The 18889-nt window shown below is 43.0% G+C and overlaps 1 protein-coding gene and 1 long non-coding RNA gene across 2 annotated transcripts in view; one reads left to right on the top strand and one right to left on the bottom strand.

Moving 5' to 3' along the window:
* Positions 1 to 8955, bottom strand: part of STMND1 (stathmin domain containing 1) — a 29329-nt gene extending 20374 nt beyond the window's left edge. The window contains exon 1 of the mRNA NM_001190766.2: positions 8667 to 8955. Coding sequence (NP_001177695.1) covers positions 8667 to 8747 — 81 coding nt within the window. The 5' untranslated portion in view covers positions 8748 to 8955. The remainder of the gene's footprint in view (positions 1 to 8666) is intronic.
* Positions 2859 to 18289, top strand: LOC101928463 (uncharacterized). Its single transcript, XR_241983.4, has 3 exons — positions 2859 to 3461; positions 16715 to 16859; positions 17841 to 18289. It is a non-coding gene; the product is annotated as an uncharacterized LOC101928463 (long non-coding RNA).
* Positions 18290 to 18889: the final 600 nt, after the last annotated feature.

Genomic DNA, 18889 nt, shown 5'->3' with positions numbered 1-18889 from the left:
TTATCGTATCTCCCCTGACTACCATGTCTTCTCTCTCCAGGTGCTGGCCCTCTTTCATTGCAAGTTTCCCACTTCTCATTTCAATGGATGCTATCAAGGTCTTCTCCATCTAAGACACACATACCACAGGAAGTCTCCTCAGTGTCTCCAGAAGAGATAAGAACACAAAGAACACGTGCATCTTCCACTCGGTAATGTCTTCCCAGGATTCTTTTAATGTCTATTTTTTATTTTTTTGAGACAGAGTCTTGCTCTGTCACCCAGGCTTGAGTGCAGTGGTGCGATCTCGGCTCACTGCAACCTCTGCCTCTCGGGTTCAAGTGATTCTCCTGCCTCAGCCTTCTGAGTAGCTGAGGTTACAGGAGCGCACCACCACGCCCGGCTAATTTTTGTATTTTTAGTAGAGACGGGGTTTCACCATGTTGGCCAGGCTGGTCTCGAATTCTTGACCTCGTGATCTGCCCACCTCGGCCTCCCAAAGTGTTGGGATTACAGACGTGCGCCACCGCGACTGGACTCATTTAATGTCTATTGATTTGACTTTTTGGCCCAAGGGGCACTTTTCTTTCCTGCCGAGTCTTTGAAGGGCCTCAGGACTCTGCCCTCCACTTGCCACTCTTTTTTTTAGAGACAGGGTCTCCATATGTTGCCCAGGCTGGGGAGCAGGGGCTATTCACAGGCACAGTCAAAGTGCATGGATTCAAGCAATCCTCCTGCCTTGGTCTCTCCAGTAGCTAGGACTACAGGCACGTGACGCCATGCCTAACCTCCCACTCTCTGCAGCAAAGCCTTGCTGTACTGTGATAAAAGTTTGTATCTTGTTGGAGGGAGCAAAAGGTATGAAAGAAGAAAAAAATGCCTGAATTGGTTCTTGATAAATGAGCTTCCAGTGGACAAGGAGAAAAGGACATTCTAGGCAGGTGGAAAAGCATACACAAGACAGGGAGATGGAATCATATTGTGTGTCCAGGAACATGAATTCTTCCAGTGTAGCAGAAACAGATTGGGGTAGACAGTGGAAGGCACTGAAGTGAAAAAGGGAAGTATTTTGTGACAAGCAAAGGAGATTGATTCTATTTTGAATGCGACAGGAATCCTGTGTAGGATTTTTATCCATGGAAATAAATGAAAATCATCAGGAGGGTTTTCTAGAAAAATCACTTTTGGGTTCCTGCAAGTGACAGGAGTGGACGGAAGGAACAGAACATGGTGATCAGTTGCAATTATTGCAGTTGTCAAGGTGAGAAGTGATTAAACATGAGCAAAGATGGTGGCAGCAAGAATGGGGGAAAGAAGTGGGTCCAGAAATATTAGAAAGTGTACTGTGAGAAGCAACCTCTCAGAGCTTCAGTTTGAAGACAGGAGGTCCTCTGGCTCTAAAATTATGACTCTAGGCAGGAAACATTTTCTTTAAGAAAAATGAATTAAAAATAAGGCCTTGTCATGAAACTCTTGGTACTTTCACAGTAAAAGTCATACAAATTTAAAAAATATATACAAGCATGTGTTAACCACTTTCTGGAATTACTCTAACGTTTGAAGTTCCTCAGAGGCTAAGTAGAGATCACAATGGCTAGGTTATGGTGGTGTCTGTCACGATCAGGTTTTCATAATTCAGTTAGGGATTCTTGCATGCTTGTAGTGGGAGTTACATAGCTCCTTATCACTGTGTTTATGCAAAATGGTAACTCCAGCTAAACCAATATCAGTTCATTGTGTTGAGGGTTAATTAGTTCTGTGTCTCAGGGCTACATGAGAAATAATGAAAAACCAACCAAACAAACAAGAAAGTCATCAAAAACTCAGTGGATATGAAATGGGAATTGGCACAAAGAGAAAGCCTAAAAGCAACGATGTGCTTTTCTCTGTCTCCGTCCATCTGTCCTTCTTCATGGACACAGTTACTGCCCATCTTGTCCCTGTAGAGTAAGCAGAACCAAGAAAGGAGTCTTTACATACAACATATTACATGTAACATATGTGCATATGTTATATATATGTGTGTGTTTTATATGTATATAAAATATATAACAAAAGAAAAGGAAATTGGGAGGCCAAGGCAGGCAGATCACCTGAGGTCAGGAATTCGAGACTAGCCTGGCCAACATGGCAAAACCCCATCTCCAATAAAAATACAAAAATTAGCTGGGTGTGGCTGTAGGCACCTGTAATCCCAGCTACTCAGGAAGCTGAGGCAGGAGAATCACTTGAACTCGAGAGGCGGAGGTTGCAGTGAGCCGAGATTACACCACTGCACTCCAGTCTGGGCCACAGCAAGACTCCATCTCCATCTCAAAAAAAAAAAAAAGAAAAAGAAAAAGAACAGGAAGGAGACCCTATCTGATGCTCACAGTTCATGCTAAAGGTAAAGATGCACATCACGTAAGTCATGTTGAACACTGTTTTCCTTCTTTCCAAATAAACTACTAAAAGCCAATATCTACAGTGACGGTAAGACAAGTATTTTCACAAGTTTATTTTGGTTTGCAGATCCATCATTTTTTGATCCTAGAGAAGCACTGAGTTACAAACAGGGTCCAGTTTCGTCATTTAACATTTCCAAGTGGAGACTCTTGAAAGACTCTTGGGCTTTTTCCAAATGGAAAAATTTAATGATTTAACGATAGTAACAACAACAACAATAGCAAAATGCCCACGGGAATTGAGAGCGAATTTGAATATTTTCAGTCTAAACGATGGCTTTTCACAAAGACTTTCTGTACATTACAACTTGGCATAGATTTAAATACCACAACCTCAGTGACCTCACAATTGAGTTATCAAAGCTACTATAACTACTTGGATTTGGAATCCAGGCCTTAGCAAGGATCTCTACCCATCTGTTCTTACTTAGAGACAGTCTGCCTTTGAGCTCTGCTGGTGACCAAAACCTAAATTGTAGCAGACAAAACACAGTCTTTTATCATGAAACAACATAAACCAGAGCAGAAATTTAAGGTTCTTCTCTTTTGAAAACTCAGAATGTCTTTCAAATATCTTACCCATGTGTAACACATTCTGGAAATTTTAACCCAATTTCATAATGAGTGTAGACTTGAGAACAGACATAGTTTAAAGACCAGACATACTTATAAGTTAATTAGATCTATGCCTCTCAGGGATATAGCAGTGTTCTTATTCTACATATACATGAAGAATTTATATTTTCACACCAGTAGGAAGTATACCTACATTAAGCCTTGGCAACATGGCCAAACTCATCTCTACAAAATATCAAAAATTAGCCGGGCATGATGGCTCATACTTGTATTCCCAGCTACTCAGCAGGCTGAGGTGAAAGGATCTCTTGAGCCAGGGGAGGTTGAGGCTGCAGAAAGCCGTGATTGTACCACTGCACTTCAACTTGGGTGACAGAGTGAGACCCTGTCTCAGAAGAAGAAGAAAGAGGAAAGAAGAAAGAAGGAAGAAGAAGAAAAGAAGTATACCTGCATATTATATAGGTAATGATACTTGGGGAGGGGATGGAATGGTGAGTAGAATGTTCTATTTTTTCCTCGGGGGTACGGATTCAGTGTGTTTCTACATTTTATGAACTTTTTTTATACCTCAGTGTCTTGGGGATAAATTTTTTTATCAATTTTAGGTAGAATTTAAAAGTTGTGAATTATAAGCTAACAGCTATGCACAGAAATCATTAGCATTCCAAATAAGGTATTGCTTTTAAATACGGACAGGTGTTGTTTGTTTGTTGTGTGTTTTTGTTTATTTGTTTTTTGGTATGGATGTACTACATTTGTTCTATAGCTTTTGGGAAACATATTTACCAAACAGCTTGAAGGGAATAATTTGTCAAGGCATCCTTGAGTTAAAACCTTCTTAAGTCAATTTATTAGCAGATATATTTTGTGAATATATTTGTCTATAGACATATAAGAAGAATTTCTTCAAAATTTGATTTTTAAGAAGTAATTTACTCCCCTTTACTGACAATCAACTAGAATTTTCTTATCAGGTATTAGGAAAAAATTGTGCAGGGTCCTTGGAGACCATCTATTCCAATCCAGCCTCTCCTCTTTTATAACAGGCAAGGAATTTTGAGTTATTCTCATAGAAGAAAAACATTTCTCCAACTAAGAAGTTTTCCATGCTTTTCTTATTATTATGCATTATTTTATTACTGTATCTTCTCACCACGATAAACTAAAGTAAAAGTGAAGGGAAAGTCTGTATATAGGTCTCAAGAAATTTGATTTAGAATATTTTAAAGTCATGTTACTAAGAAACATAAATATTTCATGCAAGCAAACACGTTCATTTCATTTTAAAGATCCTGCTGAACTACTGAACCCTAAGCCTTATGCATTTATGAAAGCTGTGAAAGAAATTATTATTATTCCAATAGTTATAGAGTGTTTAATTAATAATAATCATACCTTTCCCAGATCAGATTTCCAAAGTCAAGTGCTTGGGGCTAGGAAAGAAGGTCGACTCTCAGTCTATTTTCAGGTTATTTTAAAATTGAATTTCCTCCTTGCAGACTGTCATTAGTCTAGTTAGGCTACTAGGAGACAAGAAGACATTAAGGAATCTTGGAACCAGGAGGGACATGCATTTGCTCAAGAAAGATTCATTAGTGCCTGATCAGTATCAGGCAGTGTAGTAAGAATTGGAGATACAAAGATTAAAAAACAGTGCCTGTCCTCAAGGAGGTAACCGCACAGGATGAAAGGCAAATATAGAAACAAACACATATAATAAAATGCTTTGAAATATGATAGTAGAAGGTATAAGATCAACCCTGCCAGCATGGTGGCAGAGGTTGGGGATGGGAGGTCATGAAGAGCTTCAGGAGGAGTGACCTCGAGTGTCTTGTAAAATGGGTACACATTTATCATGTGACCCCGGAGAGGGAGAAGGAAAAGTCTGGAAAGAGAGGAAACAGTAGGTGCAAAGGCATGGAGCTAGGGACAGAATGGGCCTGGGGAACAAGTCCTAAGGTTTGTCTACGGTGTGAGTGTGGGGAGAGACAAGACTGGAGGAGTTAGCAGAGGTCAGCTCCAGGATGGGCCAGGACAGCATGCTAAGTAAGGATTTAGGATTTTATTTTTATTTTATTTTTGAGACAGAGTCTGGCTCTTTTGCCCAGGCTGGAGTGCAGTGGCGCCATCTTGGCTCACTGCAAGTTCCGCCTCCCAGGTTCATGCCATTCTCCTGCCTCAGCCTCCGGAGTAGCTGGGACTACAGAAGCCCGCCATCACGCCCGGCTAATTTTTCTATTTTTAGTAGAGACGGGGTTTCCCCGTGTTAGCCAGGATGGTCTCGATCTCCTGACCTTGTGATCTGCCCGCCTCAGCCTCCCAAAGTGCTGGGATTACAGGTATTTTATTTTATTTTTTGAGACAGGGTTTTGTTCTTGTTGCCCAGGCTGGAGTGCAGTGGCATGATCTCAGCTCACCCCGCAATCTCCGCCTCCCAGGTTCAAGCTATTCTCCTGCCTCAGCCCCCCAAATAGGTGGGATTACAGGCATGTGCCATCACGCCCGGCTAATTTTTTATTTTTAGTAGAGACAGGGTTTCTCCATGTTGGTCAGGTTGGTCTCAAACCCCTGACCTCAGGTGATCCGCCCCCTTCAGCCTCCCAAAGTGCTGGGATTACAGGCAGGAGCCACCACACCCGGCCAGGATTTTATCTTATAATAATAATTGAAATAATTTACATCATGCACTTATTCTGCGTCAGGCATTGGTATGAGCACTTGACTTATACTGAGTTTATTTAACCCTCACAACAACTCTACAAAATAAGTACAGTCATCGCCAGCATTAGTGGGGGATTGGTTCCAGGACCTCCCTCGGATACCAAAACCCATGGATGTTCAAGTCCTTTATAGAAAATGGTGTAGTATTTGCATATAATCTATGCACATCCTTCTGTATACTTTAAACATCTGTAGATTATTCATAAATACCTAAAACAATGTTAATGCTATGTAAATAGTTGTTGTACTGTATGTTTAAGGCACAATAACAAAAAAAAGTCTATACATGTTCAGTACAGTTTTTTTTTAAAAAGAATATTTTCCAGCCATGCTTCTTGTATCCCTGAATGTGGAACCCACAGATAGAGAGGCCCCACTATGTGTATTATTACTGCCCTCATTTTACAAATAAGAAAACTGGGGCACAGGGAGGTTAAATAACTTGAAAAAGGTCACACAACAAATAAATAATAAATCTAGAAATCAAACCTAGCTTGTCATACTCTTGACCATGGGTTTATGTGTCCTACCTAATGGGTTGGTGACTTCTTTTCAAAAGAGGACTGAGATAATCAGATTTTATTTGAGAAAGATCCTTCTGGAGGTCATGTGGATGATTAGAGGAGGAGGTCAGGTGTAGCAGGAAGTAGAAAAAGGATCCAGGGAGAGCAATTAGGAGACTTGCACAAAAATCCAAGCGAGAAGTGATAATTATCTTACCCAAGAAATGTAGGTAGAAACCCAGGAACCCTCCTGGGCCTTGGAATGGCTTGGCCCAGAAGACATCTTGTATTTGACGCTTGGAGAGGATTGGTTTTTAGCATCCCCTCCTATGCTGTGCAACGAAATTAGTTTTAGCAGTAACCATGAAATGGAACAAATGATAACGGCGAGAAAAGAAACCCATTTCTTTCTGTTGAAGTCTTATATGTAATCAGGCCAGCAAAATAAATAAAAAATAAAAGAAAGATTTTTGTATGAAAAGGGCGACAAGAACAATGGATTAGCACTTTTAAGTGACATTAATGTATTTTTGAAAAATGGGAGAAAAAAGTATTTCTACGTATTAGTCCAAAGTGATCATGAGTTCACCAGGCCAATAGGAGAGGGTCCCAGGGAGGGCATCTCAGGAAGAGGGAATGGCACAGGTAAAGGCATGGAGGTGTGAGATGCCTGGAAGAACTGAGCCCTGAGAGTCATTTGGTTTAGCAGATCCAAGAGCCCATGAGTGACAGGCACTGGCAGAAGACAAGAGAAGAGGATGACATTAGAGGGACAGGATAGATTATAAACTAAAGGGTTTTGCACACGAAGAGAAATTTTTCCCTTGGCAAGATAGGTGGCAGTGTGGAGGAGAAACTTGTTAGGATCCTGTCAGGAGAGGCAGAAATACCCCATAAAAGGTAATGGGTCCTAGCAGGGTGCGGTGAGTTACACCTGTAATCCCAGCACTTTGGGAGGCTGGGGCGGGTGGATCACGAGGTCAGGAGTTCGAGACCAGCCTGACCAACATGAAGAAACTCTGTCTCTAATAAAAATACAAAAATTAGCTGGGCGTGGTGGCGCACGCCTGTCATCCCAGCTACTCAGGAGGCTGAGGCAGGAGAATTGCTTGAACCCGGGGGATGGAGGTTGCAGTGAGCTGAGATCGTGCCATTGCACTCCAGCCTGGGTGACAGAGCAAGACTCCGTCTCAAAAAAAAAAAAAAAAAAAAAAAGGTAATGGGTCCCTATACAGAGACAGTGGCAGTTTCAGGATGGAAAGCAGAAAATAGTGTTAAGATGGGTGGCCATTTGGGCACAGGCTTCCCCCAGGGCACCAGGTACTAAATGTGGAGTCAGCCTTCACTAGATTCTGGTTTGCTTGTTTCAAAATGTACTCCAAGAGCCCAAGAGATGTGCCCCACATGAAGTAGGTGCTGCAGCTGGCACTTAATAGTGTCTTGCACAGTGCCTGCTGAGACCAAGTGTGTGCTCTTTGAACAGTAGCTCCAAAAATGACCCTTCGGAAAGGTGGCCATAAGTCCCAGTTTGCTGTGCTTCAGCCAGGGTCTTTGGGAAAATGTATTAATAGGGTTTCCTTTCACTCTTAAAAGCATAATTTTGATGATAAATTATATGTTAGCCTTATCTTTCGGTGTAACCCCTCTTAGGTGGACCCTTGAGGGTTGCTAGCGCTGTCTGTGGAATCTGGAGGGTGGTAAGGATGCAAAGAAATCATGGACCTCATTTCTGCTCAGCCAACTCATCCCTCTAGGTCTCGCTCTGGAAAAAATTCCCCATAATGTCTCTAGAAGAATTACAGTGCATGCAACTTTGAGGAATTAGGGAAAAGAGTATTGGAACGAAACTCTTGAAAACTAAATTCTACCTTCGCTGTGCCCCCAAATTAGCTGTGCAGCCTCGGACAAGTCGCCTATCTCTCTGGGCCTCATGATTCTCATCTATGAATCGAGAGGACGCAACCAGATAGGTTCTGAGATCTCTCCCAGCTTTAAGAAACGACCAAAGGGCCTATTTTTCAGAAGCCAATAATATATGGCAGTTCCTACGGACTCTAACCTTCCCTCGAGAATCACGGTCAACACTAGCTCTGTGCAGAACATGCTGCTCATCCGGTTATTCCTTGCCTGTGCCCTGGGGTGTGACCACCTTCGTAATCTCTTTAAACACCAAAGGCTCTCAAAATTGATCTTATAGCCATATATCTGTATCTATACTCTCTATCGATATAGATAGATATATTTTGATATTTATGCATCCGTCTAGTCCCGGTTAAGACAGCAGTTAAACACCGGCAGAATAAAGTTGCTCCCACCTGTTAACTAGCCTCGACCGACCCTGCTCCAGCCAACTCTTGTCGCCCCCAAGCGTGGGAATCGCGAGACCTCCCAGGCAAAAGGCTTTCTGTCTGTTTGTTTGTTTGTTTGTTTGTTTGTTTATTACCTTGAATTCCTCTTTCCAGCCCTTCTTGGGCGCGCGTACACGTCTCCGGTCTTCAGCAGGTTGGGAAGGTCCACAGCCCATGCTGCGCGCGCGCGCTCCTCCTCCGCGGGCTTGGCTGCTGTGCGCCCCCGCGAGCGCTCCCTGCCGCGCTCCGGCGCCGGTGGTCCCGCGCTCCTGCGCCCTGCGCCCTACGCCCCTGCTACTGCGCTCGGGCGCCACCCGCCTCTCCCACTTCCCGCGCTTAAACCCCGGGCAGGACGCACTGAGTTTCTGGGCAGTCGCCAGGAATGGTTGCCACAATAAATTACGTCATGCAGACCTGGGACCTGGGCGGAGATGGGACTCTTGTAACTGAAAACTAGAAGGTTGGAGGTGTCTAAATCACAGCTAGGATGCAAATGGCAGCCCTATCCAGAGCGAGGGGCCGGGGGAAAGCCCGCTGCCTGGCTGCGTTACTTTGAAAAGTACCAGAGTCGCAAGCATCTTGCGGGAACCTCTTATTTTTCCTCTTTGTAAGACACGGTGTGTGTGACACGCCCCTACCCCTGGTGCCTGGACCACATCCTTGTTTTTAGACACTGTCTGTAGTGAAGGTGATCGTGTGGCATGCGAGGCAGGTGTCCAGTCGCAGAGACGGCTGTTGAGGGCCGGAGGACGGTGTGGAGGCGGCCCCGACAGCACCAGAAGGCAGTGGCACAAAAGCGACCTCAGAAAGACGGTCGCACGAACAGAAACCAACACGATGAAGAAAAGCAGATAGTCAGGACCATAAACAGCTCAGCAGCCGCCAAATGGGTCACGCAAATCATTTTAATGGCAGGTGCATTTTACGAGCTGTTAGGCTGTATGGAAAGAGCATGGCTATGCATATTTCTAGCAGAGAATTAAATCAAGGTGTTATCCGTCCAAAAAGGCAGACCAGGAAGACTGCTCCAATGAGGATCAAGTTTGTCTTTCCCGGATATTTTCTTTTAATCTTAATTTTTATTTTTTTTTAAAGAATTAAAACGAACTAAAAGGAATCTTAGAGGTCTCCTATCAACTCTTTTTTTTTAGTTTTGCAGAAGTTGAGTGACTTTCCCAAGGTCAACGGGAAGCTAGTTAATGAAGGTAGGATGAGGAACTAGGTGGCCTGACTCAGTTTCTCTCTGTCTCCACAATACCAGGAAAGTACAACTGAGGATTCTTAGAGGTGTAAAAATCCTGGGTCCTTCCAAGGAAACTAATGCTCAGCTCTGTGATAGGAAGCTGATTACTTACAGCATTTAAACTCATTTCACTGTTATTGGATATTGCTGTCAATTTTCCTTCTACTAAAATTGAGGAAGAGGAAAGATGAGGAAATGAAACTCAACTCAAAGTATTATAATTATGGAGCAAGAAACATTGAAGATTTATTGAATGAAGAGTTGAAACAAAGCTAAAATGGTGTTGGGGGAACAGCTCTGATAGTATTAACTCATGGGTGTCATAAGACACATGTAATGCCCCAACTGGAAACTGGGGGAAATTCTCGATTAGAATATTCCAACACAAAGGACACCAATAAAATGTTCTTGAGCAAGTTGAATGGATGTTTGTATAACTGTAAGGGTAAGATACTGCACACAACTTTTTTTTTTTCTTTTAAGGCTCTCTGTGAACAGAGATTTGCTGAGAACGAGTAGGTGGTACCCAAGTGTGTTGTGCAGGTGTTGTTTGCAGCATCCTAGGACTACAGTGTGTAAACTAAAATAAAATCCTAAGCCCACCATAGACTGAACAGACCCCTTCTGAGCCAAGGGGACCCAAGAACAACTTAAAAACCAAGTTCCTGGTTATGACGGAATGAGAGGTGAGACATGCCTTTTTTTTTTTTTTATACCGCCTTGGTTTAGACACAACAACTGATCAGCATTAATGTTAAAATAGAGACCAGAAGATTGGCAGAACAGGCGGTGGCTCACGCCTGTAATCCCAGCCCTTCGGGAGGCCAAGGCAGGTGGATCACCTTAGGTCAGGAGTTCAAGACCAACCTGGCCAACCTGGCGAATCACCGTCTCTACTAAAATTACAAAAATTAGCGGGTGTGGTGGCGGGTGTCTGTAATCCCAGATACTTGGGAGGCTGAGGCAGGGAGAATTGCTTGAACCCGGAAGGTGGAGAGTGCAGTGAACCGAGATGGCACCATTGCACTCCAGCCTGGGTGACAGAGCGAGACTCCATCTCAAAAAGAAAAAAAAAAAAAGAAGATTGACAGAACTTTCGTGGCAGTAACATACCAAATTATAAATAGGACCTAAGGCAATGGTTAAGTCATACACCTCTACATTTAAAGAAGAAACTATGTTCTAATCTTGCTATGAAGTTTTTCTTTCTCTTTAGCAGCTAAACAAGCACTGGCCAGAAATAAGCAATATTGAAACAATTACAGCTTATCCAGCTCACAGGCTCTAACTGACCTCCTGCGACACCAGCCCTAACTACAGCTTTGATTGGACAAGAGATCAATTTCAGTAACTTTCTCCTGATAAGAAGACCAGCGACCATGGACTGTTTCTGGCCAGTTGACAGAGGTTATGCACTTGCATGCTTCATGTCCTCAAAAGACCTTTTGATATATAGGACTTACTTGTAATACATTCAAATGTTAAATCACCCCAAAGTGAACATGGGGTGATATGTTAACATGCATGTTTGTTTAATACATATGCATCCGAACTACCTTTATGAATATTCATAGCTCCTCCTACAACCTGTTGAATATGTATGTTTAGCCAGCCGGTTCAGGATAAAGCTGTTACCCCAACCCCTACTCCTTTGAAGCCCCTGTCTCTGGTCTTTGCACGAGGCAAGCTTCTCAGCCTGAAGGATGGCCACCTTGCAGGCTGTAACCCTTTATAAGAAATGAAGTTTTCTCTCCTTTCCACATTTCTAGATACTGTGTGTGTTTTTTAAGTTAACATATCCAAAGGTGTGAAAATGCCCTTTTTCTGGGGGTCTGTTAGGGCCAGTTTTTACTGGCTGATGAGAGCTGATTAACAGGAAATTTGGCCCCAGTTGTTAAATACAGCTGTTATTAAAATTAAATTATATAAACTTACAATTCAACTAGCTATGCTAAAAAAACCATAGGTAATAAATACAACCAGACTTTGAGTAGCAAGGGTGTAGAACACCTCTGAATATTAAATCATTACTGCAAGAACAGAAAATAGAAAAGAAAAATGGAAGACAGGAGAAAGAAGTGAGGAGGAAAATGAAGGAGAAGAATCAAGACAAAGTCCATTAGACAATCAAGTATGAAGAAAAGAAACACTGGCCTCATTTTATCAAGGAATTTTCAGTCTAGGAAGATCATTATGCGTAAAATTACAACTAGGAGCCCTGATGTTACACCAGCTGCTTATTTCTCTTCCCTGGTAGAGAAAGGATCTTTGTATTTAGTGGATCAGGGTGAAGGAGAAAAGAAAATCCTCGCCTGCCATCACCCAACCTAGGAGTTGGTTTTCTCTCTGTTCTGGTAGAAACTGAACCCACATGGGACGCAGGATAAACCAGAGAGCAGCCTTGTCTCCCTGCAGCACTCTCAGCAATAGCGTATTAGGGCAAGGTATTAGGGCAGGGTGAGTCATAGGCAGCCCAGAGGCTTCAGATTCCACGGTGGAAGCTTTCTGATATCAGTTCCAACTCCAAGCTTTTCTAAGAAGTAGAAAGTCACATGGAGAAATCAGTTCTAATCCCAATACCACATTTACTGAGTTTACTGGCATCTTTCCATAAATAGAAAAATTATGTACTGATTTTCATTCCCAAACATGTCTCAATGGACTAATTATTACAATAATAGCTAATATTTTGAGTGCTTGTTGAGGATTAGGTAAATGAGGGCAGCTAGTGGCTAATGTTGGCATTTCTACTTTATCAGCCTACTATTAGTCTAAAGCAAAGACTAGAAAACCCACCGACCAAATCTTGCCCACTCTGTCTTTATAGGACATATGAGCTAAGAATGGATTTTGTGTTTTAAGTGGCTGAAAAAAAAATGAAGGAGAGTACGATTTAGTGATTTGTGAAAATTATATGAAATTCAAATGTCAGTGTTTGTAAATAAAGTTTTATTGGAACACAGACATTCCCATTTGTTTACATATTATCACCCAACAGCTGCTTTTCTGGCAGAGTTGAGTAGTTATGGCAGAGATCATATGGTCTGCAAAGCCTAAAATCTTTATTATCCAGCCTCTTATGGAACATGTTTGCTGATCCCAGATTTAAAATGATAAAGTAACTCCCACAAACTTATTAAATCACTACAAGGAACCCGAGCAGCCAGAAAGAGTTTGTGCTACTTTCAGAAGGGCAAAAAACTCCGAGGGTATAAATGCCACACAAGGGAATTTATCTCATTAAATAACAGAATTCCCAGGCCTTTAAAACATGTTAAGTGGCTTCATTCAGCTGATAAGCCCTCCCATGCTTCGCTGAAGCACTCTGTTCAACAGGAGGGCTATAGGGTGGGAACGACACTTCACTGTGTTGCATCTGAGATGTACTGCAGGGAGCACTGTGGCTTCTGGAAAAAGACAAGAGGGCACCAGCTTGTAGGAGACAGGTGGCATTTTGAGTGTCATCTTGAATTCAAGATCAAATTTTATTTTTAAATTAAATTAAAAATTTTTTTTGAGATGGAGTTTTGCTCTTGTTGCCCAGGCTGGAGTGCAGTGGCGCTATCTCGGCTCACTGCAACCTCCGCCTCCTTTGTCCAAGTGATTATCCTGCCTCAGCCTCCCAAGTAGCTGGGATCACAGGCGCCCGCCACCACACCCAGCTAATTTTTGTATTTTAGTAGAGACAGGATTTCACCATGTTGACAAGGCTGGTCTCGAACTCCTGACCTCAGGTGATCCTGCCTTGGCCTCCCAAAGTGCTGGGCTTATAGGCATGAGCCACCGCGCCTGGTGTAAGATCTAATTTTAAAATCCCATGTTGTTCTGGTTCTTCACATCCCTTTGCCAGACATTTCAACCCAAACATTCCATTACTTGAAAACAGTCACCCCTCATCCCTCATATACATTGTGTTGCTCAGTTATAAGGGGTCTCTGAAGTTTCTGGCTTCTGAATCTGCTGGGGCAGGTTGCCTCAGTTACTGTACCAAGCACATTTAGGAAGCTCACAAATCTGTCTGTGAACAGTTGTGTGATAAAGAAAACTGCTATTACTAAAGGAAATTTGAATCAGAATATTGTCATTAAAAACACACACACACGACAACACATTTGCATAATCAAGATTTTTGCAATTCATTTGCCAACACTTGCAGTAACACCAGTAATGAATGAATGGTGTTGCCCCAAAATACAGAGTCCAGGCATATTTTAGGTATCCCTTTAAGAGAGTTGGTTTGACAGATTCTTGCAGAGAACAACCAGAAATAAATAAATAAGCCCACAAACAGGGGAACAATTGTTTGTTGAACCTTGGCATTAAGCCAATAATCTTGATGTTTGCTCATTCAACACAAACTGGGTAAATACAGAGAGTAAAACACCAATCTCAGGGTAATAACTCAGAGAACGGCAGTGTAACAGTAAATTTAGCTATAATAATCTCATAGAATTATAAGACTTCCATTTACATCTATGTTAAGAAGCAGTTCTGAACTGCATTTAGATATTGTATAGGTCTAATACTGTGCTGAGAATTTAATGGGGATGTGTAAAATGAGAAACAATACTTGCTGAATGGCAGTTGGAAAAGGCAAGCTTGCTTTTTAGAAAGCTGTAACAACTCTTAAGGTTACACATGGCAATTTTCACACACTGATATTCTCACAATTAAAGAAAAGTAATATTTAAATGATTTTCACTGCTTCCAATTTTGGCAGTACATGGGCAAAAAGCACTGAGACTTTTCGAATTAGTGGTGTGATTTTTCCGTGCTGGCCTTGAACATATTGTTTGACGCTCCAGGGGAGTTTGGCTGCTTGAAGAACTGAAAAAATGAGGGGAAGAACAAAGCTCTCTCAGAAACTTGATTTTTTTCTCCACTGGAATGTGGTGGAAAGAATGCTGGGCCGGCTGGGTCCCTTCTGATCCCAGCCCTGTTCTGTTACGGAGCAGCCTTGAGGAAGCCATTTAATCTCTGGGGGCTGGACTAGGAGGTACTGGATGTTTAATAGTTCCTGGAGCTCTGGTTCTCAAAGCGAGGCACTACAGCATCTGTTTTAGAATAGCCTCTGCTGCTTGTCATCAATGCATATTCCCAGCAACAAGAACAAGGGTGCTGGATTGGAACCTGCAGGACTGGTGCCTCGGAATCTGTGTTTTCAACAAGTACCTCAGGTTATTCACATGTGCAGGGATGACTGACACATTGCAGAGAGCAGAGCAGAGAAGAGAAGAACTTGGGCTTCCGAGGGAGACTGACCAGGTTTCACCTTTGACCTTGGGACGTTATTTCACCTTCCTAAGTCCTAGTTTACTCTTCTTTAAGAAAGGAGATAGTAGGCCAGGTGCAGTGGCTCATGGCTGTAATTCCAGCACTTTGGGAGGCTGAGGCGGGCAGATCACCTGAGATAAGGAGTTCGAGACCACCCTGGCCAACATGGTGAAACCCCGTCTCTACTCTAAATACAAAAAATCAGCCGGGCATGGTGGCGCGTATCTGTAGTCCCAGCTGCTTGGGAGGCTGAGGCAGGAGAATTGCTTGAACCTGGGAGGCAGAGGCTGCAGTCAGCCAAGATTGCGCCACTGCACTCCAGCCTGGGCAACAGAGTGAGACTCTGTATCAAAAAAAAAAAAAAAAAAAAAAAAAAAAAAGAAGCTAGTAATAATACCTATCTTCTTTCTAGGGTTATTGGGAAAATTAAATTAGAAAAAAAAAGGCCTGAAAAGTGCTTCCTTCACAATATTCCTGCACAATAGTTATGCAATATATGGCAATTGAGATGATCTACAAATTTGTCATTTAGGGTAGATGTATTTTTTATTGTAAAGTAGATAAAATTATAAATTCTAGCTGAAATTCACAAATTTATCAAATTAGCTTTACTGCAAGTGAAGAAAAAGTTTTTTATCAAATAATCTGGTTTTTCTTTTCTTTGTTTTTTGAGACGGAGTCTCGCTCTCACCTAGGCTGGAGTGCAGTGGCGCAATCTCGGCTCACTGCAAGCTCTGCCTCCCGGGTTCACGCCATTCTCCTGCCTCAGCCTCCTGAGTAGCTGGGACTACAGGCGCCCACCACCATGCCCAGCTAATTTTTTGTATTTTTTAGTAGAGACGGGGTTTTACCGTGTTAGCCAGGATGGTCTCGATCTCCTGACCTTATGATCCGCCCGCCTCGGCCTCCCAAAGTGCTGGGATTACAGGAGTGAGCCACCTCGCCTGGCCAAATAATCTGGTTTTAAACAGGACTTTTTTTTTAAACCATGAGTTTGACTACATCTCATTTTTAGACCAACATAATTCAACTGATATATCAAGCCACAAAGCTTTAGGAAAATCAGGGCTGGGTGTGGTGGCTCATGCCTGCCATCACAGCGCTTTGGGAGGCTGAGGCAGATTAACTGAGCCCAGGAGTTCGAGACCAGCCTGGGCAACATGGCGAAACTCTGTCTCTACAAAAAATACAAAAAATTGGCTGGGAGTGGTGGCATATAGTCCCAGCCACCTGGTCAGCTGAGGTGGGAGAATCACCTGACCCTGGGAGGTTGAGGCTGTAGTGAGCTGAGATCGCACCACTGCACTGTAGCCTGTACTCCAGCCTGGGTGACAGAGTAAGACCCTGTCTCAAAATAAAAATAAAAAGTAACAAAAAAAGGAAAATCAGAAAAGTGTGCAAGTACTGTGTGGCATATATCACCAACTAGACTCAAGCATTACCGTCGTCGCAGTGGCTGTCCCCGCTGTTCCTCTAGGGAAGCTCCCTCCTGAGCATGGATGGGGTTTGCATAAGTCCCATGATTCTCGCTTCTTTTGCTCACACCCTCCTTCCCTCTGTCTTCTCTCATTTGGCTCTGCAATTATAGCAGCTACAGAGAGCTGCCTGTTCTCTATTCTTTTTCAGAACAAGCTGCAGTGAGGACCTGATAGTCAAAATTACTTGGAGGAAAATCACAGCTCTTCTCCCCTAGAAAGTCTGCTGAGTCTCACCAGGAGAATCTCACAGGGAGGCTGCCACGAATTCTCTCTGCAAGGACTGTGAAACTCAGGTACAAGCCTAGTAGGGTGGGAGTTGGGTGGGGAAGCAAGGAAGGGGCAGGGGGAGGCGGGGGAGAGAGAGAGAGAGAGAGAGAGAGAGATGGATTGAGAAAGGTTTGGGACACCTTTCCCAAACAGATGATGGATTGAGAAAGGTTTGGGACACCTTTCCCAAACAGATGAGTGTGCTGGGGACCAGCCTCCACTGGTAAAGAGAAATTCCATTCTTCAACCTTCCTCTGCCTGAAGGGGCTTCATCCTCACACCAGGTGGCACCAGCGTCATTGCTTGCAGAAGTGGCTCTGCCACTTTTAATTTCTGAAACGTGTATTATGCACCTATTAAGTGCTCAGCTGGGCCCTCCTGTTGGCCCACCTTTCAGCTGTGAGTCGGCAGATGGAATCCTTGTAATGACAACCATTAAGCCAGTAGAGGAGCCCCGGTGAGACTGATGCACTGCGAATATGAAAATGTCATTTATTCTTAAAAAAAATAAAATAACAAAGTCGGTGCCATCTTGGAAGGGGAATGTGCCAGTGGAAAGCTCTAGCTCAGTTTGTAAATGGTCCTGTGCAGCTACTGTTCAGGCCAGTTTTTAAATGTGGTTACTTACCTTGCCACCACACTTCCAGGTGCTAATATTAAGTAAGAGTGTCGGTCAAAAAAAGGTTATGCTGTTTCACATTCCACAGGGTACACAGTTGGCCCTTGGTATCTGGGTATCTGGGTATCTGGTGTCTGCAGGTTCCGCATCCACAGATTCAGCCACCACAGGTTAAAAATTTATAAAATAAGAATACAACAATAAAAAATAATGCTAATCAAAAACAATACAGTATAACAAGTACTTATATAGCATTTACACTGTATTAGGTATTGTAAATAATCTAGAGAGGATTTAAGGCATATGGGAGGATGTGTGTAGTTTGTATGCAAATGATATGTCAGTTTATATAAGGGACTTGAGCATCCATGGATTTTGGTGTCTGCAGGGTCCTGGAACCTGGGGAGATCGAGGGACAACTGTACATCAGCCTGCTGAGAAATGTTTTGCAGGATTCATGATTGGGATCTTCGTACTAAGCCTTTCTTGAGGGAGTGTCTCAGACTCAACCAGCCTCAATTTTCCCATGAATCCTTCTTCATTGCCTTCCTAGATTGCTACTCCGCATCTCAGCTGACCCCATACAAACAAACTCCAATAGTGTCTCCAATCGCGTGCTGTGTTAAATTTTAACTTTATAACCAACCATCATTTGCTACTTCCATCTAACCAAGCCAGTTTCCTTATGATGCACACACTTGTGTTTAGCTCACAATTTGTTCTACATGCTTGCTTATTTATTCATTCAGCAAGTATTTATTGAGCCCCAACTGTGCACTAGCTGCTGTCTCAGGTGCTGGGGAGACAGGAAGATCAAAATAAAACCCCTGCCTTCAAGTGCCTTATTGTTTAAGGGTCAACAGAATAAACACATAAGTGAATATATATCATGTGAGGTGGTAAAAAGGGCTGGGCAGAAAATAAAGGTTGGAAAAGGATGGAAAGTACTGGAGGGTGGTGTGATTTTAGGCTGGAGCGTCAGGAAAAGCAGAGAAGAAATGACTGTTACAGATGGAAGTGAGTGGAATGCTCCAAGCAGAGGGAACAGCAAGTGAAAGCGCCCTGTGGTAGAAGCATATTTGGCACATGTGAGGGACTGCATAAAGGCCAATGTGGCTGCATGGGGGTTTGGGAGATGTAGGGACAAGGTCAGAGAGGTAGCCAATGTCAGCATCATTGCTGTTAGGACTGGGTGGGACCCCAAAAGAAGTATTAAATAGTACCATCTAGTTTTTGTTCTTGAGGAGGTCACGTGTTAATATACTGATTGTTTGAGGTACAACAGAGTCAAAAAGGGGATAATTTATCGAGGTACAAGCCTAGGATATGGGTTGCTCCTGTTGCCCCTAAGTCTACCACGCCTGCACAGATCCTGCTAGTTCTTTCTTTTTTTTTTTGAGACGGAGTCTCGCTCTGTCGCCCAGGCTGGAGTACAGT

The sequence above is a fragment of the Homo sapiens genome, chromosome 6 (assembly GCF_000001405.40).
Source record: "Homo sapiens chromosome 6, GRCh38.p14 Primary Assembly".
NCBI classification, from domain to species: Eukaryota; Metazoa; Chordata; class Mammalia; order Primates; family Hominidae; genus Homo; species Homo sapiens.
This window is presented reverse-complemented; position numbering and strand designations above follow the sequence as displayed.